This window comes from Homo sapiens, chromosome 14, assembly GCF_000001405.40.
Source record: "Homo sapiens chromosome 14, GRCh38.p14 Primary Assembly".
NCBI lineage: Eukaryota > Metazoa > Chordata > Mammalia > Primates > Hominidae > Homo > Homo sapiens.
Window position 1 is genome coordinate 71,714,771 of NC_000014.9, and position 27,878 is coordinate 71,742,648.

At 44.6% G+C, this 27,878-nt stretch overlaps 1 protein-coding gene and 1 long non-coding RNA gene across 59 annotated transcripts in view; one reads left to right on the forward strand and one right to left on the reverse strand.

Annotated features, from left to right (window-relative positions):
- Positions 1-26,439, forward strand: part of SIPA1L1 (signal induced proliferation associated 1 like 1) — a 420,734-nt gene extending 394,295 nt beyond the window's left edge. For 46 of the 58 annotated variants that reach the window (XM_047431217.1, XM_047431229.1, XM_047431218.1 and 43 more), the window contains 7 exons: positions 8,877-9,116; positions 9,900-10,065; positions 15,285-15,531; positions 18,896-19,042; positions 20,507-20,621; positions 23,471-23,555; positions 24,248-26,439. In XM_047431217.1, the coding sequence (XP_047287173.1) occupies positions 8,877-9,116; positions 9,900-10,065; positions 15,285-15,531; positions 18,896-19,042; positions 20,507-20,621; positions 23,471-23,555; positions 24,248-24,391 (1,144 nt within the window). In that variant the 3' untranslated portion in view covers positions 24,392-26,439. The remainder of the gene's footprint in view (positions 1-8,876; positions 9,117-9,899; positions 10,066-15,284; positions 15,532-18,895; positions 19,043-20,506; positions 20,622-23,470; positions 23,556-24,247) is intronic. The other 12 variants (NM_001354288.2, XM_047431253.1, NM_001354286.2 and 9 more) reach the window with 1 other exon arrangement.
- On the reverse strand, positions 20,155-24,950 carry LOC124903342 (uncharacterized). Its single transcript, XR_007064259.1, has 3 exons — positions 24,865-24,950; positions 21,853-21,999; positions 20,155-20,681 (listed from the first exon to the last, which is right to left on the reverse strand). It is a non-coding gene; the product is annotated as an uncharacterized LOC124903342 (long non-coding RNA).
- Positions 26,440-27,878: the final 1,439 nt, after the last annotated feature.

The following is a 27,878-nucleotide window of genomic DNA, read 5'->3' on the forward strand; positions in this document are numbered from 1 at the left end:
AGGGTCTCATCATGTTGCCCAGGCTGGTCTCATACTCCTGTGCTCAGGCAGTCCTCTCACCTTGGCCTCCCATAGTGCAGGAATTACCGGCATGAGCCACTGAGCCTGGCCCACACAACTTTTCTAAATAATTTCAGTATATAATAAGTCCTCTCCCTTTTCAATATTTAATTCCATTCCTCTAGCTACAGCTCAAATACACAATTAAGAGAGAATAAATGTCTTTTTATGAGCTGAGTGTTTTCTAAACATGAAGATTTTTGACATCTAAGATTCTGAGAACATGTGTTGGCCCTGCTTGCCTTAACCTAGTTATTGGATATAGATTATTGACTATAACGTGGTCATTTGCAAAAAAAGAAAGAAGGAAAATTTGGTATAGCTCTCTACCCCCAGGCAAGTTGGGAGAGGAACATAAGGAAAATAGATTTGGAGCCTGAGACCCTGGTTCAAGTCTCAGTTCTACCATTGGTCAGCTATGTGGCCTGTGGCCAGTTGTACCATTTCACCTGGCTTGTCCCTCATCTGTAATCTAGGAGATGGCATATTGGCCATGGAATACACCATAGGATTTTAAGGTGCACAAATTAAACAGATACAAGCACATGGTGACAAATGAAGATGGCTTACTATTGCATCTTTCAGTTCACTGGCCAGCAAACTGCATTTCAGCAGTCAGCTTGTTCAGATTCTACACAATAGACAGCAGGTCAGAAACTCAGTGGCTAATGGATAAAGCCTGCAGCTGGTAATGTGCCATGTCATACACATTAGCATAGCCTAGTACCACCAAACCAAAATCCTGTTCCACCTACTAAATGGCTGTTTTTACATGTCTGTTGAAAATAAAAAAGATTATCAAATGTATTGCAAACTGTAAATGTCATTTTAAGACCAAAGGTTTTTTGTCATTTCCTTTTGTAAGCTCTTCATCACCTGCCTTAACAATTTTCTAGTGACTTTTCTTTTAACAAGCAGGTATCTCCCACAGCTCTTATAACTACACTTTGTGTGTTTCATCCTATAATCATATTTTCTCTTCTCAAGCATCTGGCTTTGTTTTCTTTATCCTTTTTAGATGCAAAACTTGGACATGACACTCTTCTCAGCTATGCCCAATAAAATGATAATGTTCATAGATATCTTGTTAGCCCCTTATTAAATAGCTTAGCGTTACAGGCTTTTCAGCTTGTGGTCCACGGTGATCCCTGAGGCTTCTACTGCTGCATATAGCTGGCCACTCATTTCCCTATGCTGTATGTATTAATATGCCCTTATACTGTTAAATTTCTGCCTTTTATAGATGGACAATTTTTCTTTACTGCAGTCACTTGGATATCTTCTTTGTCAACTTAATCATCCCTACTTCACTTGTTTTCCCCCAGTCCTTTGGAATTAGTGTCTTCTAAATTGTGTTCCGTACGGTACTCTATTGGATAGAGTACAGAACTGGCTAGTGCTGAACACAGTGGGAGGAGTCCTCCTTAATCATTATCCTCCACATTATCTGTCACCCAAAGGCTTGTTATTTGTACAAGCAATCACAGGAAACCCGATCAGCTCTCCTCTCCTTGGTATTAGACCAGCATTCAGCCATTGCCCAGATTTTGCCACAGCCATTTGACAGGTGACTAATTGCTTCTCTCTGCTTCCTGAAAATACCATCTTTAGCAGGCCAAGCTTGTCTAAAACCCCCTTGCCATTCCTAAATAGTAGATGACTCCAAGTTTTCCCATCAGCAGCTTTCTACAACACAGACAGTGGCTGGCAGATGTTTTTCACAGGATATGATGATCTCAGTGACGATGCAGGAATTCACAGTGGTCTCCCCAGGCCTCATAGGTTCAGCACTCTGGGCCTTGACTGATGACATTCAGGCTTCCCAATCCTGTGTGGCTCATCGCTTGGCAAAGTCAGCAAATAGATGTAGGTCCTCCTTAAAGCAGCACCCGCTGAGAGTAGCATCTTTTTTGCAGATTGGTCATCTAGCATCCCCTCCTATAAAGCTTCGCCACAGCTGGGAATGTAAAATCACCAGGTTGCTGTACACGTGATCCATGGTTTCATTTGAGCATCAGGTCAAGATGAGAAGTTTGGACAGATTCAGGCTGTCCCAGATCCTCGGTGACCTCACTACCTCTCTTCTTTTTGAAACAGTCTGGCTCTCTTGCCAGGCTGGAGTGCAGTAGCACGATCTTGGCTCACTGCAACCTCTGCCGCCCAGGTTCAAGTGATTCCCTTGCCTCAGCCTCCCGAGTAGCTGGGACTACAGGTGCATGCCTTCACGCCCGGCTAATTTCTTGTATTTTAGTAGAGACGGGGTTTTACCTTGTTGGCCAGGATGGTCTCAATTTCCTGACCTCATGATCCACCCACCTCGGCCTCCCAAAGTGCTGGGATTACAGGTGTGAGCCACTGCGCCCGACCTCTTTTATATGGGGTATCATGTACTTGTGTATCCTCTCTTCCTTTTCAAAATTAATATCCTGACATGACCAGACAGAATCTAAGGTTGTTCCTTTTTAGGAAAGGAGAAATGCCCTATAGCTTATAGAAAAATTAAAGTTAGTAGTTTCTTCATGTAGAATTTAGAGACAACTTGAGTAAATTTCTAGTGATTCCAATTTGGCCATACTCAGTTAAACTCACTTCTTATACATTGAGAAAAGTAACATATTGCAGTTATTATTTCCTGTTACATCTAATGCTCTTTTCCTTTTGTTAGATATTATTGGTTCATTCCCTTCTTACGTAATTCCTATGACAAGATTTAACTCTCTGTGAGTAAAATGAAATTGCAGCCTATTAAATTAACATGAAATTTCCAGGATAATGAAAGAGCCCAGCCACACAGCTCCCCTTAAAAATTATGAAGCTGATAGCTTCATGGTAGTTGTATTGTAATTTAATCTACTTCAGAGATTCTTAGGTGAAGTGTATGGGTGCACATCCCTTGACGCAGTCTCAGGCCAGTGGGTTGGTCAGCTGCAAGGAGCCCACCCACAGCTGTGCCCAGAGACAGACTCATTTTAGAGTGGGAGGAGTTGAGGGGCTAATGCAGTATTTCTTCAACCCAAAAAAACATGAGAATACTTTGGAAGTGTGTTAAAATACAGATTTCTGGGGCTCTGGAAGATCTAACACAAGCCCAGGATTCCCCAGTTACATCAGTACCTACAGGTGGCCATGTTCTGTGGCTTGAGAAACACTGCTGCCGCGACTTCACCTTCTTCACCTAGACAATATGGAACTGGATTTTGACCGTCATAACAATGTGTGTAATTCAACTGGATGAGAGTGAGCAGTAGGCCTCAGTTGGTGTGAACACTTGGAGGACATTTTACCTAATCTTCCAGGCATCATTCCTCCTTTACTAAATTAAATATCTAGGATTGGGACACAAGAAAGTATGCTTTAGAAGAGCTCCCAGGTGACGCTCACAGGCCCACTGAATTAGAGGCCCTGTGTACTGAAGTGCACAGCTTCATGCTGTGAGTTGTGTGCATTAAAGAAGAAAGCCATACCAGTGAATTGTTCATTTGTTTCTCTCATAACCTTTGTGCCTAAATCTAATCAATTAAATGGGGCTGTCTCAATTAGAACCACTAGTGAAAAGAAGTGCACTGGCATTTCACACCTGGGAGCTAGTGTCAGCCCATTGTGTTCATAGATAAAACCAAGGATCGGGGTTGATCTTATTTAACCAGTTATCCTTTTAAGAATACATGTGAAAGCCAGGTGTGGCAGTGAGCACTTGTAGTCCTGGCTACTTGGGGGGCTAAGGTGGAAGGATCGCTTAAGCCCAGGAGGCTGAGGCTATAGTGAGCTATGATTGCACCACTGCACTCTAGCCTGAGCAATGGAGCAAGACCCTGTCTCAAAAGCAAAAACAAAAATTAAGAAAATAATAGCCTTATTTTGTCTGTTTTGGGACTTTATATAATATAAATAGAATCATACTATCTGCATTAATTTGTGCCCTGTGTCTTTAAGTCAACATTATGTTGCTAAGATTTATCCATGTGTTGCAGGTAACATTAGCTTTTCTCCATGGCTATGTTATAGTTACAGTGTGAGAATATAGCAGCTCATTTGTCCACTATACTGTTGATGAACATTTGGATTGTTTCCAATTTTGGATATTCAGAATCTTTGCTTTTTTTTTTCCTCTTCTTTTTATTTTTTTGAGATAGAGTCTCATTTTGTCACCCAGGCTGGAGTATAGTGGTGTGAACTTGGCTCACTGCAGCCTCAACTTCCTGAGCTCAAGCAATCCTCCCACCTCAGCCCCCCAAGTAGCTGGGTCTACAGGCACATGCCACCACACCTGGCTAATTTTTTTTATTTTTTATGGAAACAGGGTTCGCCATATTGCCCAGGCTGGTCTCAAACTCCTGAGCTCAAGTAATCTGCCCGTCTCAGCCTCCCAAAATGCTGGCATTACAGGTGTGAGCCACTGCACCCAGCCAATATTAAGAATTCCTGTACATGTCCTTTTGTACACATACATATATGTTTCTTTTGAGTTTCTGGGAATGCAATATCCATGTCAAGAATATACATATGTTCAACTTAGTAGGGTCTCTGAACTAGTTTTCCGAAGTGGTCATAACAAGTAGCACTCCCACCAGCAGTGTATGAGAGCTCTAGTGCTTCGCATCCTTGCCAGCACTTGATATTATAAGTCTTTTAATGTAACCATTCTGGTAGGTGTGTAATGGTCCTTCATTGTGGTTTTAATTTACATTTTCCTAGTAACCGATGATGTTGAGCACCAGTGTTTATTGACCTAGGCTCACTGCAACTTCCACCTCCCAGGTTCAAACAGTTCTCTGGGCTTAGCCTCCCAAGTAGCTGGGACTACAGGTGTGCACCACCACACCCAGCTATTTTTGTGTTTTTAGTAGAGACAGGGTTTCATCATGTTGGCCAGGCTGGTCTCAAATTCCTGACCTCAGGTGATCTGCCTGCCTTGGCCCCCAAAGTGCTGGGATTACAGACATGAGACACTGCACCTGGCCTATTGTGGGACTTTTTAATATCAAAATAGCTTCAAATTTACCGAAAAGTTGCAAAGATAGAGTTCCCATACACCCCTCACCAAGTTTCCCGTGTTGGCATCATCTTACATTAGTGTAGTACATTTATTATAGCTTGAGAATCAATATTCCTTCAGCACTGTAAATATGTTATCCCCCACTCTGTGGGCCTGTAAGGTTTCCACCAGGAAGTTTGCTGCCAGATGTATTGGAGCTCCCTTTTATTTTATTTGCTTCTTTTTTCTTGCTACTTTCAGATATCCTTTCTTTATCCTTGACCTTTGAGAGTTTGATTAATATATGCCTTGAAGTAGTCTTATTTGGGTGGGATCTTTTTGGAGTTCTGTGACCTTCTTGTACCTGGATATTTATATCTTTCTCCAGGTTTGGAAATGTTCATTATTCTTTTGAATAAACTTTGTGCCCCGATCTCCTTCTCTCGCTACATCCTCTTTAGGGCCAATAATTCTTAGATTTACCCTTTTGACAGGACAGGCATGGTGGCTCATGCCTGTAATCCTAGCACTTTGGGAGGCCAAGGCTGGCAGATCACTTGAGGTCAGGAGTTTGAGACCATCCTGGCCAACATCGTGAAATTCTGTCTCTACTAAAAATACAAAAATTAGCTGGGCATGGTGGCGGGTGCCTGTAATCACAGCTACTTAGGAGGCTGAAGTAGAAAACCTGGGAGCAGAGGTTGCAGTGAGCCAAGATAGTGCCACTGCACTCCAACCTGGGTGGAGACTGTCTAAAAAAAAAAGAAAAACAAATTTACCCTTTTGAGGCTATTTTCTAGCTCTTGTAGGCATGTTTCATTCTTATTCTTTTTTCTTTTTTCTACTGTGACTGTGTATTTTCATGTAGCCTGTCTTGAGCTCACTAGTTCTTCCTTCTGCTTGATCAATTCCGCTGTTGAGAAACTGATACATTTTTCACTTTGTCAATTGAATTTTTCAACTCCAGAAATTCTGCTTGATTTTTAAATTACTATTTCAATCTCTTTGATCTCTTTGTTAAATTTTTGATAGAATTCAGAATTCCTTCTATGTGATATCTTGAAGTTTATTGAACTTGCTCGAGGACAGGTATTTTGAATTCTCTGTCTGAATTCTGTGTCACTCTGGGATTGGTCACTGATGCCTTATTTGGTTCATTTGATGAGGTTATGTCTTCCTGGATGTTCTTGATGCCTGTGTACATTCATCAGTGTCTGAGCATTGAAGAGTTAGGTATTTATTCCAATCTTGGCAGCCTGGGCTTGTTTGTACCCGTCCTTCTGGAAAAGGCTTTCCGTGTATTCAAATGGGACTGTTGTGATCTTAGTTTGTGGTCACTGTAGATGTATCAGCACTAGGGGGCACCCTAAGTCCAGGAACGCTTTGACTCACCAACTCCAAGAAGCACTGCTTTGATGGGCTTGGACAGGATAAGGGAGAATTCTCTGGGTTGCTAGGCAATGTCTCTCTCTCTCTCTTCCCTCTCAGGAGTCTCTCTCTGTGCTGGGTTGCCTAGAGTTGGGGAAGGTGATTCAAGCACTCCCATGGCCACCACAGCTGGCACTGCACAGGGTCAGACCTGAAGATAGCACGGTACGGGGTCCCACCCAAGGCCCGTGGTGACTGCTGTCTGGCTACCACCAATGATTACTCAAGGCCCAGGGGCTGGTTAGTCAGCAGGTGGTGAATCCTGCTGGGTCTGGGCTTTTCGCTTCAGGGCAGCAGACTCTCTTCTGGCCCTGGGTGGGTCTGGAACGCCACTCAGGAGCAAAGTTCTGGAATCGAGGGCTTCAGGATTCCACCTGCTTTATTTTCCTGTGGATGAGCTGCTACTCAGGTTGTAAGACAAAGCCCTCTGTAGTCTTTCCTTTCCTTTCCCTAAGTGGAAGGAGCCTCTCCCCAAACTTCCCTGCCTGGAGTTGGAGGACTGGTGGTGTAGGCATTCCCTTGGCCACCATGGCTGGTGTCACATGGGGTCATGTGCACCCCAAGTCCACTTCTTCTTAAACCAGTGCAGCTCTGGGGCTTGTTCAAGGACTGCAGTCCCTGTGGCCTGACTGCCACTCATATGTATTCAGGGCCCCAGGCCACCTTGGTCAGCTGGTGGCAGAACCAGCTGGGACTCAGCTTCCTCCCACTCTGGCTGAGAATTCCCCTCTGGCCCAGAGCTGGTCTAAATGCTCTGTCCGTGGGTGCCAGCAGAATTCTGCTCAGTGTTGTGCTCTGCTGTAACAGGCCAGCAGTGAGTTCCAATGCAAAGTCCCACACCCTCTCCCTCTCTGACGTGCACAGATTCTCTCTCCAAGCTGCTGTGCCAGGGGTGGGGGAGGGAGCATAGGCGATGCAGGACCATCTTTCCCACCCTCTTCAGTGGTTCTTTCCCCTTGATATGATGTGACAAGCAGGTATTGTGATCACTCACCTGATTTTGGATTCTTATGAAGGTGCTTTTTTGTGTGGATAGTTGTTCAATTTGGTGTTCCTGTGGAGGCACAGTTGTTAGAGGGTTCTATTCAGTTATCTTCCTCCCCAAGTCAATATTGATACAGTATTATTAACTAGAGTCTGTACTTTATTTAGGTCAGGACGATTCATTTTTGACAAATGAAAGTGCCATCGAGGAACGCTTTGGGACCACATACTGTTAATTAAACCTCAAGTAAAAATAACTGAAAGTCTGTTGTAGCAAGAGTCAGCCATCTTTGGTCTCACCCCATGCTGGAGAACTCAGAAAGGCTCAAATAGTGTGGTCCTGTGAGACCACTGGGCAGGAAGTATGAAAATCCTACAGTTAAAGGCCTTCCACTTTTAACATGAGTTTTAGTCAACTAAAACTCTCATCCCTTATTTTGAAAATCTTGCCTTTTTCTGCTCTGGAACTCTTGAAACCCCAGAGTTTTGGACTCTTTAGTCATGCAGACTTTAGTTGTATAATCTTTTTTATTTTTGAGATGGAGTCTCACTCTGTCACCTAGGCTGGAGTGCAGTGGCGTGATCTTGGCTCACCACAACTTCTGCCTCCCGGGTTCAAGCGATTCTCTTGCCTCAGCCTCCCAAGTAGTTGGGATTACAGGCACACACCACCATGCCCAGCTAATTCTTGTATTTTTAGTAGAGACAGGGTTTCGCCATGTTGGTCAGGCTGGTTTCGAACTCATGACCTCAGATGATCCACCAGCCTCAGCCTCCCAAAGTGCTGGGATTACAGGCGTAAGCCACCCCGCCCAGCCCTAGTTTTGTAATCTTTAACCAATGTTGCCCTAGTTTTGTAATCTTTAACCGATGTTTGAAATACATCGACCAGCAGCTTCCAGAGCCAATAGGAATGCCAGCTGCCATGGGGAAGGAGCACTCACTGTGCCCCTTGGCCTTGGATGTGAGTCTGAAGAGCCATAGCCCTGCTTGAGTCTCCTCTCCCCTCCTCAGCTTGGTCCCAGAGAGCATCACCACAATCCCTAGTTGTGAGGAAAGCAAGACAGAGGCATGGAGACGGTAGACCTTTTACTTCTCTTTCTTCTGTCTCTTGCCACTGCCAGACTTCCGTGACAAACGTCAGTGGTGCCAATGTGAAAAAAGTGAAAAAAGTTGAAAGTGTCCCTGACAGTCTTAAGTATTTTTACTTTTTAAAGTGCAGACTAAGCCCTAGTGGTCATCTGTCACTTTGAGAGCAGACATTTAAATTATGATGAGAAAGCCAGGAAGGCCAGCCAGGCATCGCTGTTAATAGTTCATGAAAAATTCACTGTTGTTCAACCCAGCCATCACCCGTACCCCGGACAGCACTTTTATAGCTGACATAATGATCCTGAGATACACATGTCTTTGCCCTGCTTCTCCTCAGTACCATGAGCTCCCGACACTCTGCCAGCCCAGTGGTTTTCACCAGTGCCCGGAGTTCACCTAAAGAAGAGCTTCATCCAGCTGCCCCCTCACAGCTCGCACCATCCTTCTCCTCCTCTTCCTCCTCCTCCTCTGGTCCTAGGAGTTTTTACCCTCGCCAGGGCGCTACTAGCAAGTACCTGATTGGATGGAAAAAACCCGAAGGAACCATAAACTCCGTGGGATTTATGGACACGAGAAAGTAAGAGTTACTTTCCTTCCCTTGCTGGTGGCTTGCTTTTAACAGGACAGAGAATAGAAAAGCTTGGCGTGATCTCTTACAACAAAAGAGGCCGGGCTAGGGGGTTGGCAGGAGTTGGTCTGTTGGTGGGATTATGATTTTTTTTCCTAAGTAATATTTTCTTAAATTATTTCTCTGCCTCATTCCTTAAATAAGATTTATTGCAAAATGTTAGGATTTGAGAATCTTAGATCTTGAAAAGAGTGTGTTTGAAGGATACACTTCAGAATAATTGCCCCTCTGGTGCTAAGACCATACTAGTCCCTTTGATTATATTAATCACAGCCTTCCTGTGTAATTCTTAACTAGGCCAGTAGGCACCAGAGGGAATATTACAAAGTGAGTGAGTACCCCTGAAAATAAAGGACTTTTTGACAAGGTAGTACATCAAAAAATTAAATGATTCATTCAATTATTTTGTTTTCGTTTGTGCAAAGGTTGCATTTTGGATGTATACCCTGTGGTCGTTTAGTAAATCTGTTGCTAATTTTGGCTTAGTAAAACTAATAGCTTTATTTAAAAGAGTGACTTATTCATCAGATTTTATTTTGTGTTTCAAATTGGTTTTGTTTCTTCAGTAAGCGTTTATATGAGTAGATTCGCATATAAACAGAAGTAATTATCTGTTTCTCCACATAATATTTCTCTATTGACTTATATTGACTTACATCCTTTAGAGCCCATCATGCCCTTGAGCCAGCCTTGTTGAGTTGGTATCTATCATCTCTTCCCTTTTTTGTCCAGGCGTCATCAGAGCGATGGCAATGAAATAGCCCACACCAGGCTGCGTGCCTCAACCAGAGACCTCCGGGCATCTCCTAAGCCAACCTCCAAGTCCACCATTGAAGAAGATCTAAAGAAACTAATTGATCTTGAAAGCCCAACTCCTGAATCACAGAAGAGTTTTAAGGTACAAGACAGAGCTCAGGGTAGATGGCAATTAGAAACAAGCCAGACATGATGGGGCTATTAACCATAGTCACACTTTCCAGAAAGTGTTGGTTACTGGCTGCTCTTCACTAAGTCTCACTTCCTGCTATCATCCCATTTCCCTGATAACTGGTCCACAGTGTTTGACAGTGCTCTGTCCCTGCAGCCACATCTCATTAGTCATGGTTTCTATTACCTGGTCCTACCCCTACAGCTGTTTATTCTTCTGCTGTGTCCTGCTCAGAGTGCATGATTCCCTGAACATCACTTAGGTGATATGACTTCTTGGAAACTGTGCAGAGACACCTGTGGCTCCTATGGAAAGCTAGAACGTTTTCCATAAGGGTTTTACTGTCTTCTGTCCAGAGGGTCCTCGTCTTCTCAGAAATGGCCCCATTTGCTCCTGACCCTGTCTGGCAAACCTACTGGCCATATATGGTATTCTCTTCACTCAGAGAAACTGCCTGATAGACAGTCGCTCTCATTGCCACACCCCCAAAAGTAAATGTACAGCTGCTGCTTCAATCCAGCAATCTAAGTCTACCCACACACCTTCAGAACTTTCCAAACTCTCTTGACTTCATAAAGCCTTCTATTTTATGCTCAGAATTCCAGACTGTAAATGTCTTCTCTAAAACCCAGTCTCTCTGCACCAAGTCCTGAATACCTGTCCAGTGTGTACGTTTTTGTGTTGTCCAGACCTTTATGTGACCACATGGAAAGGTTTGTGTACTCGTCTCAGCTTGTAAGACCTTTGGAAACTCACTTAAGGCTCTCTCCTTTCTTGTTCTATAAAGTGTGGAGTCTCACGCCCCCGGGGATTGGAATGGGTGTTTATTGAGCTGGGCCTGAAGTTACGTCACTCTGAGTATAGGTATTTCTGTCTGAGGTCTTCTGGGTCTCCTAGGAGAAGGGAGTGCACCCCCAGAAAGGTCATGGCTGCAAACTTTGAAGTCTTCTGTTCTCTAGGTTCTTAGGTGGATGATTTGTAGTCTATTTGAAGAGACTAGAAAGCTTTAAGAAGAACCTTGAGAATTGAATTGATTGAAATGGAAGCTAGAATATTTCCTAAACCACACACCAGCTTCAGACTGTGATCAGAGTGCAAGAGGCATGGCGGGTGGAGCAGCTGTGTGGGGCTGCCGCCCTCAGGCTTCCCTAGCACCATGCTAGCGTGTGTGTGCGTGTGCATGCATCTCCCCAGATAGGCCAGATAAACCCCCTAAACCTAAAAAATCAACATTCATAGGAACTGAATGTACCCCCAAGGACCACTTTAGAGTTTTGTCGAGAAATAAATGATTTGTTAACATGATTTATGTTAATAAATCATTGTACAGATGTAGCCATTCTTGATTTCTGTAATTTCCGTCTCATAAGCCAGCACTTAACAGTTCTGACTCATCATTCAGGGCACAAATGGTTTCCTTAGCAACCTTGCGAAAGACAGTGCTTGAAACTTCTTTCTTTATCCATCAAAACCCAAAGAGGTATATTAAAATGTTCAAGTACCAGTTCAAAATAAAAATTATTTCAGATTTTTCCTTTGAGGTTAAAGGGAAATAAAACCTGCCCTGAAGGGAGTTTTTCTTCCAACTCCTAGTTTAACATTTTTGGCAAGAGGCAAGCTCAGAGCCTTCATTCTTTTGATTTACTTATGCAGTAGAAATAATTGAAGGCAAATGTCTGATTTTGTCCTTATTCCAGGTCTTGGCTTTTATTTCCAAAATGAATTACTTTAGCATTCCTATTTGAAACAGGAGTGTGCTTTCTTTATGTTGTGACTGTATTACTGTGAGACTCCGCGAAGAAAGTGCTTCTGCTGGCTAAACCATCACAGTGAGAAGGCTGTAAGCAGGAACTGGGAATAGGCCCAGGTTTTCTCTCTCCAGTTTCATCTTATTTGAGCAGGTTTAGTTTCAGATGAGTTCAGCTTAGTAGCTCCCTTTGTCTTCTGAGAGTCGTCATCTGAATGATGGAGGCTCTGCTGTGTCAGTAAGGCTGGCATGCCCTTGAGAGGTCTTCCAGGCCACTCCTGGCTCAAGGCTCTGAGTCACTGCCTCAGGCTTCAGGATACTAGGTGTCATGGCCAGCTTTGGGCTGTGACACTCCAAAGCCACTCATGTGCCACATTGATTTTCCTGGATAGCCAGTGCTACCTATGAGTTTTTGTTAATATTGAGTGGCAGGGTCACTCCCAGGCTCATTTGTCAGCAGAGCAAGGACCTCAAGAACAGTGGCAGAGCTACAGCACTCTAAGAAACCTCACTGGCAAGCAGAGATAGGATAACGTTATTTTCCCCAAGGGTGGCATACAGTCTGACAAGTGAACAGACAGTAGTGCCAGTGCTCTCAGGTATATACCAAAGGAGGTGGCTTCGTGTGGCTCCAGTATTTAGGAAGAGTTTCTTGTGAGTGCAGGTGACACATGTCACTAATAGCCAGGGGCACTGAAAAGAATGAGAGAACAGGAGACTGGCATGAAACAAAACGCCACCTCTCCAGGCCCCATTCCTCAACTGTGAGATAGAGGACCAGAGGAGATCAGTGGTGCCCAACCAGTCTTAAAGCTCAGGAAGCCTTTTTTTTTTTTTTTTAAATCACACATGGAACCCCATTATATAGAATTCAGACAGTAGAGTTTCTCTTATGGGAGGGATGGGATGGTCTGGACTCCTGGGTCCCACTTGAACCTCTCCGTAGCAGTGGTGCTATAAGGAACCCTTAGGGCCTCCTTGGAGCACAAGTTAGAACCAGCCCCCTTCTCGAATGTCCTCTGAAATCCCTTCCAGGTGTGATCCCACTTCCAGTGCCATCCCACTCCACTGCGATTCTTTCCCAAGGGCTGGCAGCACCAGGCAGCGCTCCTGGGCAATCCCAGGTACAACCTGCAAGGCAGGCAGGGGCTGCTCTTGGGAAGCAGTTAGTTCTGCACACCTTTAAGACTGGAGTTAAAGAGGATGGGGCAAGGGGCCATCTCAACATTCTTGGACAAGGCTGGGTTCTCCTACCTTTTAATGAGCAGAACGCCTTCGGGGTAGGTTGCTTCCTCTGCTTCCTGCCCTGCCTCCCTTCACTGCAGGGTGTTTTAACTTTTCATAGGGCACCCTGCTTAAAGAAGCTCTTCAAGGTAGCTGTTCATGGCCTTGAAGCATATTAACATTTCCCAAAGAGGCTGAAACTAGAATTGGCGGAGGGTTTCACACCTGTAAAACCATCAGGCTGGGGATACTGGAAAAGGAAATCCCTTTACTAAAACCAGGGGTGCTGAAAACTATTTAGCAGCAGTTTTTTCATACAGAAATCTGAGATCTGACCTGGCAGGCAGGAGCCTTATGTGATAGTCCTAGAACCTTGCAGGTGGAGATGTTTTATTTGGTTTTATTTTTTAATCTGGTTTTATTTTTTAAGAAAATTACAGTTAGCAAGCCATATAATGGCTCTAATGCTCACTCTTCTCCACAAAAAGAGAAGGGAAATTATCACTTTCATTCCAAGTTCTCTCTCTCAAAGCATTTATCACAGCAATTTAGTTTCTAGACAAGTACATACGTACCTTGGATTTAATTCATCAGGAATTTTTTTAAAGTGAGAATAATTTTTACCCAGTTGGTCACATCTTGGGTGTATTCACAATGTGTTTGATTCATAATCTTTTGGTATTTATGCAGCAGCTGTGCATACCACATTGAGGGTAGCCTGGACCTGATTCACCCCTGGCTTGTTGAGCGGAAGCATGCTAGGCCCTGTGTATCCACTGTATTTCTGGGTCTGTAATCAGCCCACTAAATGGAGCATTTGCTAAATCATTCTCTCTCTGCCCCTTCAGAGTGTCATGGGAAGTCCCAGGGTGGCTTTCAACCAGCAGTGACACCCTCCTCACATCTTCACCTGTTCTCCACATCATTTTCCCTATCGAGGCAGACAGTGGCCTAAGAGCAAATGAATAAGGATAACTTTATTGTTCACGGGTCAAATGCTCTGTTGCCTTTCAGGTTGCTATTTTTAAGGTATCTGCTGTTCTCAGTGAAGAGATACTCAGAAGCTTGCTATTTGCAGAAAAAATCTCAAGTAAAATCAAATTTGGTCACAGAGGCAAAAGATAAGAGATACATCTGGAACTATTTGTCATGTATATTTAAATATATAATTATTTGTCATTTAGAAAGCTGACTTCCCTATTCTTTCTTTATTTTTTGAGACAGAGTCTCACTCTCTTGCCCAGGCTGGAGTGCAGTGGTGCAGTCATGGCTCACAGCAACCTCTGCCTCCCAGGTTCAAGCGATTCTCCTGTCTCAGCCTCCTGAGTAGCTGGGATTACAGGCGTGCACCACCACGGCTGGGTAATTTTTGTATTTTTAGTAGAGACGGGGTTTCACCATGTTGGCCAGGCTGGTCTCAAACTCCTGACCTCAAGTGATCTGCCCACCTCGGCCTCCCAAAGTGCTGGGATTACAGGCATGAGCCACCGCGCCCAGCCTACCCTATTCTTATTTCATGAATAGAAATGCATCTTCAAAAAATGAATTTTCTCCAAAACTCATGAAATTTATCTACCTCGATAGGTTCAGTTGGTGTAAGTTAGTAGTTAATCAAGAGCTACCTGCTATGTGAGTTAAAATATTTTGATGATCAAATACCCTTGTTGCCCAGCAAGCATGTTATCATCCGACAAGCTTGTCAGGATACCCTCTTGGCACTGTGGCTCTCTCTTCCCCCAGGGGCCATAACACCATTTCATCATGCCACTGACACCTGCCATTGTGCTCAGTCCAGCGTTTTGTTTAATCCCTGTGGTAATCCTGAGAGGTTTTGTGCTCCCGTTGTACAAATGAGGAATTAGACTCAGAGAGATTGTATGATTTGGTCAGAGACACAGGATTCAAATAAAACCCACATTTGTCTGATCCTAAAGTCTTGTTTTTAACCACACACGATCTTGATAGGTCCACTTAATCACATACCTGAATCACATAGGGAGCACTGATAGACTGCAGGCAGCATGCCAGGCTAAGGAATAATGACCAGGAATTCTTGGGTTAGCTCCTTGAGGTTGTAGAAATAGACAATGAGCCCTGAAGCTTCCTTGCTAGGGGTGTGTCTGGAGCAGTAACTTGGTTATCCCACCCTCCCCCAACCTTGGTCTCAGGGATCTGAACCAGAAAATTGACTTTCTTTTGTCTTGATCCTGTTTTTCAGTTCCACGCACTCTCCTCTCCTCAGTCTCCTTTCCCCAGCACCCCCACCTCACGGCGGGCCTTGCACAGAACACTGTCGGACGAGAGCATTTACAATAGCCAGAGGGAGCACTTTTTCACCTCCAGGGCGTCACTTCTGGACCAAGCCCTGCCCAACGACGTCCTCTTCAGTAGCACGTACCCTTCTCTCCCCAAGTCGCTCCCGTTGAGGAGGCCTTCTTACACCTTAGGAATGAAATCGCTGCATGGTAAGTGGTCTTTCAGCTGCAGCCTGGATGGCCCTGTTGATGATGGTCAGTGTCCCCAGACGTGGCTGCCACTCATGTGCTCAGAGAGGGGTCCTGTATCCATGCTCAGATGGTCTCAGCTCACCCGCCCCTTCCTCATTTGCCCTCTCTCTCCTGTAATCCCAGACCACCATAGTCACCTGGGTTGCTTGCTAGAAATAACAGATTCCCACACTGGACCCAAGACCTCCTGAGTTTGAATCTCCAAAAGAATAGTCTGGGAATTGGTATTCTTAGCAACCATGCCAGCTGCTGTTATGATTGAGCAAATTTGGCTAGCACTAGATTAGTTAGTTCTTAGAGAGTGGTATCCACTGCTTCCTGTAGCTACCATAAGAACCCAGACTTGCCATTGCTGTCATTCTTTCCCAGGCTGTAAGGAAATTGCCTGTGGTGTCAACCACTCATTTGTTGACTCATTGATTTCTTCGTGCAGTGAGCAGGCAAGCATTATGTAAGGAAAAGGTTTGTGGATGATGGGTACCTCCATGTTCTTGCACCTGGTCCACATATGCCTTGTTTGCTTTGTGACCCAACTAGATCCCAGTTTTATTAAGGGCCACTTTCTGGCACTCGGGATTTAAATTTGGTTTTTCCCTTTTTCCTGTCTCTGTCCCACCCCATTCCAGGGCTCTACACCTCCCCTCATAGCTGTGGCCCAGCACAGCAGATGCCTGTCACGGAACCAGTGTTCTTGATCATTTGCTGGATGCACTGCTGTCACCCTTCCTCCCTTCTGTCCTTTTTCCTTTGGTGAACTCTGCTGCAGCTTTTATATCTCCAGTGTCCATTCATACCCATGTTTCTTTTCCTTCTGCTGCTTCTCTGGAACAGTAATTTCTTTACATCTCTTGCTTTTGCTCCCTTATTTTTGAGCTCTCAGCCCACGCTCATGAATGTTCCTCCATGTCTCTGTCCTACTCACTGTTCAGCAGCGCAGTCCCACCCACCCTGCTCGCCCCAAGGATCATGCCAGCTTCCCCTGCTCCTTAAATCTCCTTAAATAAAGCTGCTCCATCCACCTGCAGCTAAAATCTGGGTTGTCTTTGCGCCAGGAAGTCACCTCCGATGAACCAAGGTTGGCACATGAAATGACCACTTTTTGTCACCAGACTCCAGAACAAGCCTTCTGGTAGTGACCTCCTGCCCCTAACCTTTTTCTCTTCTTCTCTCCCTACATCGGGGTCAGTCTTCCGTGAATTCCATTATTCCTGCCTTACTTTGATTGCTCTCTTATTTCTCTGTACTTTTAATTTGCCTTTGCAGTGTAAAGGTAACCCCTTTGTGAAGTCTTCTCTGCATGTGTCATATCAGAGTAGGCCCTGAGTAGTAGAAGCCTACATTCCGAAAGAACAGCCCAGAAATCTGTGTCCCACACGTGGTCATTGTCCAGACGAGGAGTCCTGGGACTAGAGGCCCCATGTGAGTCCACAATGGAAAGGCAGGGACAGGCAGCCCTCTCTGAGCCCCTTCCCTTCACTTTTTCTTGTTTTCCTGAATAAGATAGCAGCTGCAGTGATTTCACCCCCTAACCAGGCAGTCCTCATTGGGCTGATCCCTCAGCCCTGCCTTGCTTGGTGACTTCCACTGAAATGTGTTTGGGGGATGAGGAAGGGTGACTTCTTTTATCCCCCACATGGAAATTCGGGCCCCAGAGATAAAAGGGCAGAAGGGTTGTGAGTTACACACAGAATTATCTCCCCTCCTACTTACCCTTGGTAGGAGCACATTTAAGTAGAACTGAACATTTAATATCTTGCAGTGTTTGTTAACTTCCATTTACTCATGATTTTGCTAATTTTGAGCACAGTAATAACCAGCAGCTGTACTTCAGAGAAGTTCTTTTCGTAATTTGAAAGGGAAAACAAAGCATTTAATACACTGGCTTACCGGGCTGTCATAATACATGAAAATCTTTAACTCCTGGTAAACAGGTCTTTCTGGAGTCACTTAAATATTCTAGCTGAGCATTTAGCTTTAGCTGTGTGTTTGCATGGACCTGAGTGTCGCAGTCACCTTCCAAGGGTGCTCCTTCTCGTGGAGTGGTGTGCTCTGCCCTGGCTTCCACCCAGCTTCTGCCTACTGAGGGCATTTCTATGTCATGAGCGTCGTTTCCCCTGGACCCCAGCAGCCCGCCCTTCCTGTTATCTGCCTGCATGAACCTGAGCAATAGGAGCTGCCTTCAGTGTTCAGGGTGGCTCACTCTGCCCAGTCCTCCCTGCCAAGCAGATCTTAGTTGTTAATATGTCAGTTTGTTGTTACAATGGTTTAATATTTGTATTCAACAAAATGTCCCCTTAGGAAGAGCTTGGGATGTTAGACTGCTGCAACCCAAAATTGGTCCAAAGAATAGCTCGTGTGATGACTGCATCCTAGAGAAGAATAATGCCAGTTCCACCCCTAAAATCACCTTCCTGTCTTAGCTCTGTCTGAGTAACCCAGCACACTCACATCCCTTGATGTGCCCCTCACACCCCCTTGGACACCTTTGACCATGGAACCCAGTGGGCTGCCCCTCAACAGCAGAGAGGGCAGGCATGGGCCTTCTGTCCCTTACCACTCCCGGGCCAGATAAAAATAAACCCTATTAAACTGGGCGTGGTGGCTCACGCCTGTAATCCTAGCACTTTGGGAGGCTGAGGCAGGCGGATTACGAGGTCAGGAGTTCAAGACCAGCCTGGCCAACATAGTGAAACCCCGTCTCTACTAAAAATACAAAAATTAGCCGGGCATGGTGGCACATACCTTTAGTCCTAGCTACTTGGGAGGCTGAAGCAGGAGAATTGCTTGAACCCTGGAGGCAGAGGTTGCAATGAGCCGAGATCATGCCACTGCACTCCAGCCTGGGCTACAGAGTGAGAATATGTCTCAAAAAATAAAAAAATAAGCCCTATTGTCCCCTCTAGTAGGAAGAAACATCCCTGGTCTGGCTCCAAAATCCAGCTCCCTGTTGAAGTAGGCCTCTTCTTCCTGGCCCAAATCCCTTGACTCTGTGCAGGAAAGTAGATGCTAGTGCTGCCTAGGCCCTGCTGTGGACAGACAGCTCTCACAAAAGCAGACTTAGTGCCTCCATGCAAAACTAACTTTGCCATGACTCACTGCTGGAAGGGAGATGATGGGAGGTTGTGAAAAAATGAAGGCAGACTAGAGGAAGCCGATTCCTATTTCAAGTCAGCTTTAGAATAGCCACTAACAGCCTGCTAACCTGGACATTGATAACAGTCACAAATGGCTTACAATCTATTGTGGTAACAGGAAAGAGGTAAGTTTTGAGTGGCTCTTCCACAGGCACAAGAAGCATCTCATTCCTCCTCCCTTCCCGCAGGAGAGTTCTCAGCCTCGGACAGCTCCCTCACTGACATCCAGGAGACCCGCAGGCAGCCTATGCCCGACCCTGGCCTGATGCCCCTGCCTGACACTGCTGCAGACTTGGATTGGTCCAACCTGGTAGATGCTGCCAAAGCCTATGAGGGTGAGTCCACTGAATCCACACAAGACAGCCCAGGATCCTGCAGCGGAGTGAGCAGTCTCCATCCACTCTACTTCTCTGGACACACTCAAAACATATGTGCCTCACCAGATGAGCTATCAGTTACTGAGCATTCAGTAGGGACCAGACCCTAAGCTGGACACCTAGGCACATGTTTTATGTAATCAGATGCCACCTGGTGTTTCCTCCACAGGATTCATAACATGAATGCCTCGCCTCCTCCGTATATGGGAAGGGCAATGGGTAGAGGAATCCCAGCTGTCCCTTGACTAAAAAGAACATGTATCCAGAGAGGATCTTTCATCACGTCGCAAGACATTGTTGCTAAATGTCACAGTGCCTGCCCTGCTTGGCCACGCGCCTATCCTCACAAATGTGGGGCGCCCCCTTTGCCGTTCTCCCTCATCTCCGTGCGCGGTAGCGCGTTGTCTGTCTGCATTGTCTCCTTGCCAGCCTGCTGGCCGTGTGCTCGCTTTAGGCTGGCGGTTCTTAAATGCAGGTCCTCAGACTGGTGCTGATCTTGCCTGCTGTAATGAAAACACAAAAAGTAGTGCAGTATGTGTGTGTTGACATAAGATTGTCAGCTGGGGTTTTTGTTTTTTGAATGAAGACTGACTTTTTTCTAAGTTTAAAGATCTTTCTAAAATTTTTATTATTCTTTACAAACTTATAGCAGGTGATTTTTTTTTCTGTTTTTGTTGTTGTTGTTGCTCTTAATTAGGAGAATTGAAAATTGCTATTTAGTCAAGTTTTAATTTTGGGGAGAAATGTACTAGGCCACAGAATCTGTACGTCGGGCAACCATGGAATGGTCAGCAGTGAATCCTTTTACCTTCATGCTGTTTATTTAGCAGATGGAAATTCCCAGTTCTAACTTGATTTTTCAGTGTGTTGGTTAATCTCCTTCATATACAAATGGTAGAAGTTTTGGTTTCTAATGGGAGATTATTTTAAATTTGATTTAGTTTTCTTGGCTTAAATTTTAACTTGGTATGTTTTGGAATACAGGTGGTATGGATTTATGTTAAAGCCAACCAGAGTGTCCAGGAATCTTGTGGTGGAAAACATACTTCAAGAAGTTTTAAGCATAATGCTAGCTCTCGAACGCATTTATTTCATTGCTGAGTGGAAAGCCTTGGTCTGGAAATTTGGCACAAGGACTGTTTCCAGAGAAACATTTCATAGAATGCTACAGTGATGAGCAGGGAAGAGGGGGGACTAGAAATTGACTCACAAATGTTTCTTAAAGGGAAATTACATGGCTACAATCCTCTTATAGCTAAAACAGTCATATTTTTCCCTGTGAGGGTTGGGAAATAAGATTTCCAGTGCATCCTGCACTGGAAATACTAGACATGACTGCCAACTAGACCACTTGTTGACTTTGATAGATAGGGCCAGGGATGTGGTTCCAAAATACTAAATGGTTTCTTCTCTCCTTTCCAGTCCAGAGAGCCTCATTTTTTGCTGCTAGTGATGAAAACCATCGCCCCTTGAGTGCTGCATCCAACAGTGATCAGCTGGAGGACCAGGCTCTGGCCCAGATGAAGCCTTACAGCAGGTTGGTCCCAGTGCAAGGGCAGTACTCTGCACCTTGTGTCACATCTGCCACTGACTGCATCTGTGGGGAGAAGAGATGGAAGCCACACGGAGTAGCTGAGTGAAGCTGATCACTGCAGGGCTAGACACTTTACATTTTAGTCAGAACGCTTTGTAACTGAATACTGTAGACATAATTAAACTATTCTTGATGACTTATACGGCCATAATGATGAATATTCATTATTATTTAATGTCATAATACATTTATGCCCTCAGGGCCAGTTGGGGCAGGTAGGAGAGACCATTTGCTCTAAGTATTCCTGTGCTCTGTGCTGTGTAGTCCTGCAGTCTGGGTTTTCAGTCTCTTTCGCAGTGTTGCTGATGGTCATGCTTATACATGCGCTTGCTGAGTCCTAGTGGCTCCCAGTGTGCTGCTTCACGTCTGTGTGTTGGAAAGCTAAATCACCAGGATGGTTAAGATGGTATGAAGGTGAAAAGTAGGCAATAACTGAGGTCCTAAGGGCTTCTCAGTCAGGAGCAGGGACTTTACAACTTCTATTTATGCAGAGACCGACTTTTCTGTTTTCCCCTTAGTTTCAAAATGGTGAGGTTGCTAGATTTATGTGTGCTAATTTCTGTATGTTAAAGCATCCCATCAGTCAGGTATGGAACATTTAGTAAGCACTTCTTGTTGCAGAATAATTTCATTCATTTGAAATCTCTTCCCTTAAAACCCTTTGAGGCTGGGATTGGTGGCTCATGCCTGTAATTTCAGCACTTCGGGAGGCCAAGGCGGGCAGATTGCCTGAGCTCAGGAGTTTGAAACCAGCCTGGGCAACATGCTGAAACCCTGTCTCTACTAAAAATACAAAAAATTATCTGGGCATGGTGGTGCACACCTGTAGTCCTAGCTACTCGGGAAGCCAATGCATGAGAATCACTTGAACCCAGGAGGCGGAGGTTGCAGTGAGCCAAGATCGCACCACTGTACTCCAGCCTGGGTGACACAGCGAAACTCTGTCTTAAGAAAAAGGAAAAAACCTTTCAAGGGTGATTAAAACTCCAGGTATCTGTAAAACTTGGTCAGAAACGGACAATAACAGGAAAGCCAATTGAAGTAAATGGCACAGATAAACTGGGGCTTGCCATTGAGGACTTCTCTGAACAAGTCTGCAAGGAAGTGCTCTCAACGAGAAGGCACAAGAATAGGGGATCATTTGTTATGAGTATAGGAGAGAGGCCGCACTTACCTCTGGCACTGCTGGGGTGAGGAGAGCAGCAATCAGGCTGACTGCTGAGAACTTTAAAAATGCATATCCCAGAAGCAAGCCCCAAATGTGCCTCGTTAGGAAGGAGCCTCCAACAGAGAGAAGTGTGAGTGAGCCAAGACTGTTTTCCTGTGAAAGGATTATTAAAAAATCAGCAGATGAGGGTGATGACAGGCTCTTTTCTTGGGTCAGCATGGACTGAACAAATGGAAATGGAGGTGAATAGACAGAATGCTCCTGAGCGTTGCTGCAGTCCTGATGAGCTGCAGTGGCTTTGCGAAGGATACCACTGCTGCCCGGCCCCAGCCTCGTTGTGTCTGTCCAGCACCGCCCCTTTTCTACCACATCCGTGGCCTTCAGCCCACCCAAAATCGGACCAGCCTGCCGTACCATACTATGCGGTTATGGACTGCAGCTGACCATGTCCCTTCTCAAACCCATTCATTGTCAGCTTTTCATTGGCCTTCCTGCCTTAGAGATTGGAGGTCATGGTCACTCCATCAGCCCACAGCCTTGCCACACTGTACACCACGGTGGGTTTTGCCTCCTGGGGCCTCTTGTAGACTTAGGATTAGCAGAAGACATCAACACAGTTCATCTGAGGTCAGGAATTGTAACTTGAATCTTTATTTTTAAAGTAAAGAATACCTTTTACTCCGTGACCTAGAAAATTCGGAGTCACTTAGCTCTTTCCCATTGGCGCTGGGAAGAGGCTCTGCATGTTTTCCCGATGGAAGACTTTGGGTTCTCTGTGGTGTGCCCCTGAGGATGTATAGCTTGGCTAGGAATCAGGAAAATTTGGCAGCTTGAACTCAGGTAGAGGAGAGTGTGGCAAGAAAAGTTGTCAGTTCCTCAGCCATAGGACCCTCGGGGTGAGAGCGTGCCCAGCCATGCCGTCTGTCTAGCTCGCTGGCTGGCCTGCCGTACCCCAGCTCACACTTCTTTCGGTACTCCACTAGCACGGCATGATTAGCGTGCCATAAACAAAAGAAAACATGAGAAAATGAGAAGAAAATGGTTTTTTGATCAGACTGGGACAGAATTTAAGACATTAAGCCTAGGCTAACAAGATACTTAGACCAGTGGTTTAAGATGTAGGCATGATACCTTAGCTGCAATTGCATGAGTAGCTAAGACCACACACTTGGGACCAGAGACGACCTGCCTATCACATCAGCTCCCCAGCTTCCTTCCCACACACAGGGGAGTAACTCCTCTGTCAAAGCCCACTAGAGAGATCCCAGAGCCTCCCTGGGAATCATTTTACTGTTTGACAATTATATCTGCCAGAAAGTACCTCTTGTGCTGCCAAAGAGACCATTTTCACTATTGTGCTTCATTCTTTAGTCGTGAGGATGCAGCATCTTTAACAAAGGAAGCTATTGATTGGCTGCAGTTCAAGCTTTTATTACCTTTTTTTAAGACTACCATTTTCTTTTTTAAAGTAAAAATACTCATTGGGTCGCCATACTGAGTAATTTGACATTGAAAACCATTTTATAAATACAGCCTCCTCAGAGTAAAAAAAAAAAAAAAAAAAAAAAAACAAACCCAGCCATGGAGGCCCCTGCCAACATGGTCTTTTGTTTCTTGTTCCCAGCAGTAAAGACTCCTCTCCCACTCTGGCTTCTAAAGTGGACCAGCTGGAAGGTATGCTGAAGATGCTTCGGGAAGATTTGAAGAAGGTAAACATGTATTCTCAAAGCAAATTGTCCAGTCTGTACAAACTACCCTTGAACCATGAGAGCCCTTTCTAAGTAGCATGGTAAAATAAGACGTGGGTGTCTTCCCGGTGCCTGCATGTGTTTGGGGATGCAGGGATTTCAGTTGCCACTGGAACACACAGCATGAGGAGGCGTTCGGTGTCCGGTGTACAGAAAAACTGTTCAATAATTTGTGAAAGGCTGTGAACCTCAGCCAGCACCATCTGGGTCCTCTCCCGGCCTCCCCACTCCTTGTGTAATGTGTCAGTAGCCCAGACCCCCATGTAGTCGGTGTTATTGGGGCTTTTGCACCAAAAGAACTGAATGTTTTGTTTTTTGGGTGGCCTTGACTATATATCAAGACATCAGCCACCAACACAATTGTCTAAAATTTAAGACAATCCTGACTAACAAGGATGTTAAAATACACATTAATGTACTTACATTCCAGGATTACTTAGAGCTAATCCTGCAGGGTTGAATCTCTCTAGAAGCCCTGCTCCCTGAGCTTAGAGTGTCTTAGCACCTGATACCAGTCCGTTTAGACAGGTGTTTGGAGGAACGAAGAATAGAAATGGACAAAAGATCAAAACGGGTCCATAGCTATTACTCAGAAGAGCTGGGCAAGGTGGGGCCAACACCTCTTAGCTTTTCTACTTCACTCTGCCTCCCAGGAAAAAGAAGACAAAGCTCACCTTCAGGCGGAGGTGCAGCACCTGCGAGAGGACAACCTGAGGCTACAGGAGGAGTCCCAGAACGCCTCGGACAAGCTGAAGAAGTTCACAGAATGGGTCTTCAACACCATAGACATGAGCTAGGGAAGGCTGAGGAGGACAGGAGAAGGGCCCAGACACTCCCTCCAGTGAGTGTCCTGCAGCCCTTATTCCCTCCATAGAAAGCATCCTCAGAGCACCTTCCCTGGCTTCCTACTCTGCCCCCTTTCGGGGAGTGCACAACACAATAGTTGCAGATCAACAATCATCACCTGCCTTTTGTAGAAAAGAAAAACAAAAAAAGTAAATAAAAATTTTAAACAGTAAAATAAAAGTTTAACTGCTAAAATGTGAATGTCTTTATTTTTTTGCACAATATCTTTATCTGTTATGTATTTAAGAAGAAACTGGGCCTTGGACCAGGGCGCCCCCTGGCCCATCCGCCTCTATTCCCATCAGCTTTCTTATCAACTTCAGGTAACCCAAGCTTTCCCTTGTTATTCTAACAAATATCATTATTCCTAGAAAAAGAATGTTTTTATAACTTGTTTGGGGAGTAGAGAGGGATATTTCCTTACCTTCTTCCCTAAAATGCCTGGAGAGGGAGTTGCTTTGAGAAAATGCCTACCTCCCTTGAATGACTCGTGCATGAGCTAGTGCTGTCTGTACCTGTCCTCCAGAGATCAGCAGGACCGGAGTTAAATATTTAACAGCAAGTCTGTAAACCAGAGCAGCTCTGACAGTGCCTGCAGGCCACACCCCTTCTCAGTCCTGCATTGTGAGGTCATTTCCTGCTTCTCCCTTTCCCCAGGAAGATGGTCCCACTTGTGCTGCAAGACTCTTTTTTGTTTGGCTTAATTGAGCCCCACTAAATTGGAATCAATCTCTCTTACAGCTTCCTGGCTCCAAACATTAATTGATTTCAGAATTCCCCCAAACTAAAACCTTATCTGTCTGCATTTTGAATGCATTTTGGTCAAAAGTATACGTTTTAAAGATTTTTAAAGATAAAAATGTGGCACAACTGGTTTTTTTAGCTTGCTGAAAATGACCATATCTCTAAATTAATCTTTCTCTCCAGAGCAAGACTTCACCAGTATTTGTAACTAGGAGAAGCTAACAGTGAATGTTTAATTGTGAATTTTAATCATTGCTTGTTAGGAATAATGACTGTGATACTAGAATGGGCTTTTGAAACCTGCATGTCCCAGTGTGAAATTTCAGCACGGCATTTTCTGCATCCTTTCATGGCCATCCAAAGGATTCCGCTGCAGAAATTATTGATGTGCTATTTTTGCTGTCTTGTGATGCAGGCTGCTTTGGGCCCCTGGGTCACTCTTCCAAGGCTGCTGTAGAGCACAGAGACATGGGGCTGGCCAGTGTTGACTGACCTGAGGAGACCCCTTTGTTTGTTGCCTTCATAACTGTCACTAAACCGACCCCTCTGCCCTTTCAGTGGCAACTCTGGTCTAAGGGAACATTCAGCACTCTAGCGGCATCTGATTGGAAGTTCCCTCACCCAAGTAATCTCAATTCCTTCCTCTCTCCATCCCTGAAAGAAACAGGATGGATTTTCCTCTCTTCTCCCTGCTACATTCACTACCAGATTTTTATGCTACAGTTTCATTCTTGATTGTGATTTCTCCATGGAATTTTTTTTTTCTGGTGACATTTCTATCATGGAAATAGGAAGATTTCGGAGTGCTTTGTGAAGATTTCAATTGTCTGTCTCTTTCTCTCTTTGACTTGTATGAAGGAGATTGTACATTGCCTGATATCTCTTTGTAAATGAGAAATATTGCTAACATCCAAGCATTCTGAAGTCTTGCTTATCCTTCTGAGTTTAGTTCTCATTTTGTTTTACATTTTGTTTGGGGACTTGGGGCAAGCTATTTATTAGAGTTTTGCAACAGAGTTCTTGTTTGAAGCCTCTAAAGACTACCTGTAAAATTCAAAGAATAAAATTCATTTTAAACGCTCTTTTAAAACACTTTGGTATTATTGCTTGAGGTTTGCTTATTTGAAAGACCACCCAATAACTCATTGACCCTCCTTGCATCCGAATTTTTTCATCAAGCTTTGTTAACACTAATGATGATTCTTGAAAATTTCTGTCCTTCTCAGAATGTTAATAAACTTTTTTACTCTGTCCACATGTCGATAGAGAATTACTATTTTGCCTTCTCTGCTTATGATTTAATATTTGCAGAGCACTTCATAATTAGCTTCCCCTTCATTATCCACGCATGGATTTTTCATAACATTGTTATTCTCTGAGACCAGCACATTTTTGGGCTGCATCTCCCAGCTCTCAATGTCAGATGTTGTGTGCCCAGGGAATACAAATGCCTGTTAATATTAGGCTGTGCAAAATATAATTAGAAAAGTTAATCTACTGAAAAAAAAATCAGTGCATTCCAAAGTCAAACCGAACCAATTTTTTTTTAATCTACCACGTCACTGTTCCTCTCCAGCGGCGCAGCTAATTGAGTGCTGACAGTAGAGTTTCTTCCTTTTATTTGGTTCAACAGTTCTACAGATTCCAGAGTTCTTGGACTAGCATAAGAATGGATGCCACAAAATATTCCAATTAACAAGCTAAAAAGGTCTGTTTAGACCATGATTCCTACATGGTTCGGAGGGCTTATACGTTATTTCTGTAGGGCTTGGCACATGGGTTGGGAGCCCCTGGGAGAAGGTGCTGTTGGGCCTGCATTGATGGAAGATCTTCATCCATGAGCTGACTGGGAAGGCCAGTTGCTTGCGCTCCAGATCTGGTGCCGGTGATAAGCTGGGTTAGGTTACTAACTCTTTAGGTGGGGATAAGAACGATAGTCCAAGGGCAAAGAAAACAGGCCCAGCAAACTTACACTGTTTGCCTCTAGTTAAATGTAAAATGATGATCTGAACCCAGATTTCAGTCTCACAGTACGATGTTTCAGTAACTGTGAGGTGCTGTTTTCCCACAATAAACAAAGTGGATATTAAAGTGCAAGATGGCACACATGGGTCAGAAACCCAGTGAAGACTGGCCGGGTGTGAGGGCTCACACCTGTAATCCTAACATTTTGGGAGGCCAAGTCAGGAGGATTACCTGAGCCCAAGAGTTCAAGACTAGTCTGGGCAACATAGTGAGACCTCATCTCTGCAAAAAATAAAATTAGCTGAGCATGGTGGCACATGCCTGTAGTCCCAGCTGCCTGAGGTGGGAGGATAGATTGAGCCCAGGAGGTCGAGGCTGCGGCGAGCTGGGATTGCCCTACTGCACTCCAGCATAGGCGACAGAGACCCTGTCTCAAAAAAAAAAAAAAAAAAAAAAAAAGAAGACTTGGGTAATGTTAAATATGACCTGTGTCCTGTGTGATTTTAAAAGAATAAAGATGCCACAGTAATGCTGGATACTTTTTCTATGTATGAATTTTGTCACTAATGACCCTTCCATAGGCATCATCTTTTGAGAAAAAGACATTTGACTTCAACTGGGGCTTAAATCCCATCCATTACTTATCATCTGCGTTCTTAGGAAAATTACCTAATCTCCGAGCATGGTTTCCTCATCTGGTAAAGTAGTTAACAGCCTCATGTTTTAAGA